The sequence below is a fragment of the Homo sapiens genome, chromosome 4 (genome assembly GCF_000001405.40).
Source record: "Homo sapiens chromosome 4, GRCh38.p14 Primary Assembly".
In the NCBI taxonomy this organism is placed as follows: domain Eukaryota; kingdom Metazoa; phylum Chordata; class Mammalia; order Primates; family Hominidae; genus Homo; species Homo sapiens.
In genome coordinates this window covers 107182412-107184232 of record NC_000004.12, presented here as the reverse complement: position 1 = coordinate 107184232, position 1821 = coordinate 107182412, and the positions used below count along the sequence as shown (strand labels likewise).

Here is a 1821-nt window from a genome sequence, read left to right as displayed (position 1 = left end):
GTAGCTAGAGGAGAAAAAGTTTCCTTTCAAATAATCTATTTTATATTCCAGATTTCTTTCAAAGTCCAAATTGAACAAAAGTTTAGTTCTTAAAGGTAGGTCATGTGGTCTGATGTGGGGTTTTGAATTTCGGTTTTCTGCTTTTTGATTTGGGACCTCAATCCCTCTCTTTATAAATGATAGAATTGGAATACATAATTTATCTTTAAGATCACTTCTACCCCCTTTTTTTAAGAAAATTAAAACCCATAAATTTATAGTCACTTGATGTATCTCTTCTGCTTTTTGTCTCCTTCCCCGTATTTTTAAATTTGCCATTGCTTGAGTGTTTGATTCTTCTACAGAGGTAGAAAAACAAATTAACTTGCATCCTCTCTGCTCTATTAATTTCTGATGTACTTGAGGGTGGATACTGTCTTTTGTTTTTTCTGTACTTTCCCAAAAGTCAATCATTTTTCTGCATAGAGGAGTTTCTAGCCCTGTTTTTAATTGACCAGTGTCTTTAGAAGCTCCTCATGGAATATTATAAAGGAGTAAACAGAGGCATATGTATGATCATTGAGTCTCCACTGCTTTTCATGTCTGTGTGGTGGGCTCATGAGGTCATACATCCAAATTCTAAATATTAGAAAGGCCAGAGTCTTTATTCTCAGTTTCTTAGAGTATTTCTATCAAACTCAACACATCACCCCTTTGGGATTTCCATCAGGAGGTAGGAGAAGTGCTCATGGTTTTTTTTTAAAGAGGTATAAATTTGATCTCATTTGACATTGCCAGCCTCCAAAACTGTATTCCGTAAGGAAGCCTCTACCTTGGTGTGGGTGTTTTCCCTGGGGTCACTGAAGGACAGAGCTGTGATTAATCATGCTTGCCACTAGAGGTCAGTGCTTACCATTCACAGAGTGAATCTAATACAACGGCCTTTGGACTCCTGAAGACCAGCGTTAAAAGAGTATTTGAAATTTCTTTGTGCTGTTAGTTGAGACTAATGGACTCTGGGTCATTATGGATTGTGTATTCTATGCAGGCTCTATTAGGAATAATTCAAAATGATAATTATATTTTCAAGTATTATTTAGTATTATTTCCATTCCTGGTTATATAGATCAACTGTTTCAGAAATTAACAAGTTTTTGCTCTATAGAATATCTCAGTGGTCTTTAGGTTTTCCCACTTTCTCCTTTTTCAAAATGTTATAATCGGCATCAATCAATAAGTAGGGTGAGTAAAGGTAGAGAATAAGGTGGTGGTATTTGAGGTACTTTGATAAGGTTCTTCTATTCTTACCTAACTTAAAACATTTCTTCACTTTTCTGGTACAGAGGCTTCTCATTCTATCATCAGGCATTAGTCCTCTTAAATCAAATCATTTAGCTATAGTTCTTTTTACTACAAATATTTATTATTTGCACATAATATGACAGGGACTGTGTTTTGATTTTAAGCTTCAATAATTCACTTATTTTAAATATTATCTGAATGAGGTCCTGCTGAGAAATGGATTCCAGTTTATATTTATTTGATAGAGCTCACTTGGCTGTTTAGTTGTACTTCAGTGAGCTGGCTTTCTAAGTTCAGCCTTGGTTCAGCCTTCACTATAGAGGTAAGGCTGTTAACATTTGTTGAACACCTACTGTATGTAAAGTATTTCTTGTATATAGTATCTCATTTAATGCTCACGGCAACCCCTGAAGTAGGAATTGCTTATTATCTCCATTTTACTGATGAGGAGACTCAGCTTCAGAGTTTAAATAACTTGCTCAAGATCACACACAGCTTATGAGGGAAAGGGCTAGGATTTGAATCTACGTCGGCTCTTCT

General features: G+C 35.4%; 1 annotated feature.

The window, feature by feature from the left end:
- Positions 807–1101: a silencer, noted in NCBI's record as "tiled region #7463; K562 Repressive DNase unmatched - State 12:CtcfO". NCBI's record gives its function as "represses a minimal TATA promoter and a strong SV40 promoter by Sharpr-MPRA in K562 cells {active_cell/tissue: K562}" and the evidence as "EXISTENCE:reporter gene assay evidence [ECO:0000049][PMID:27701403]".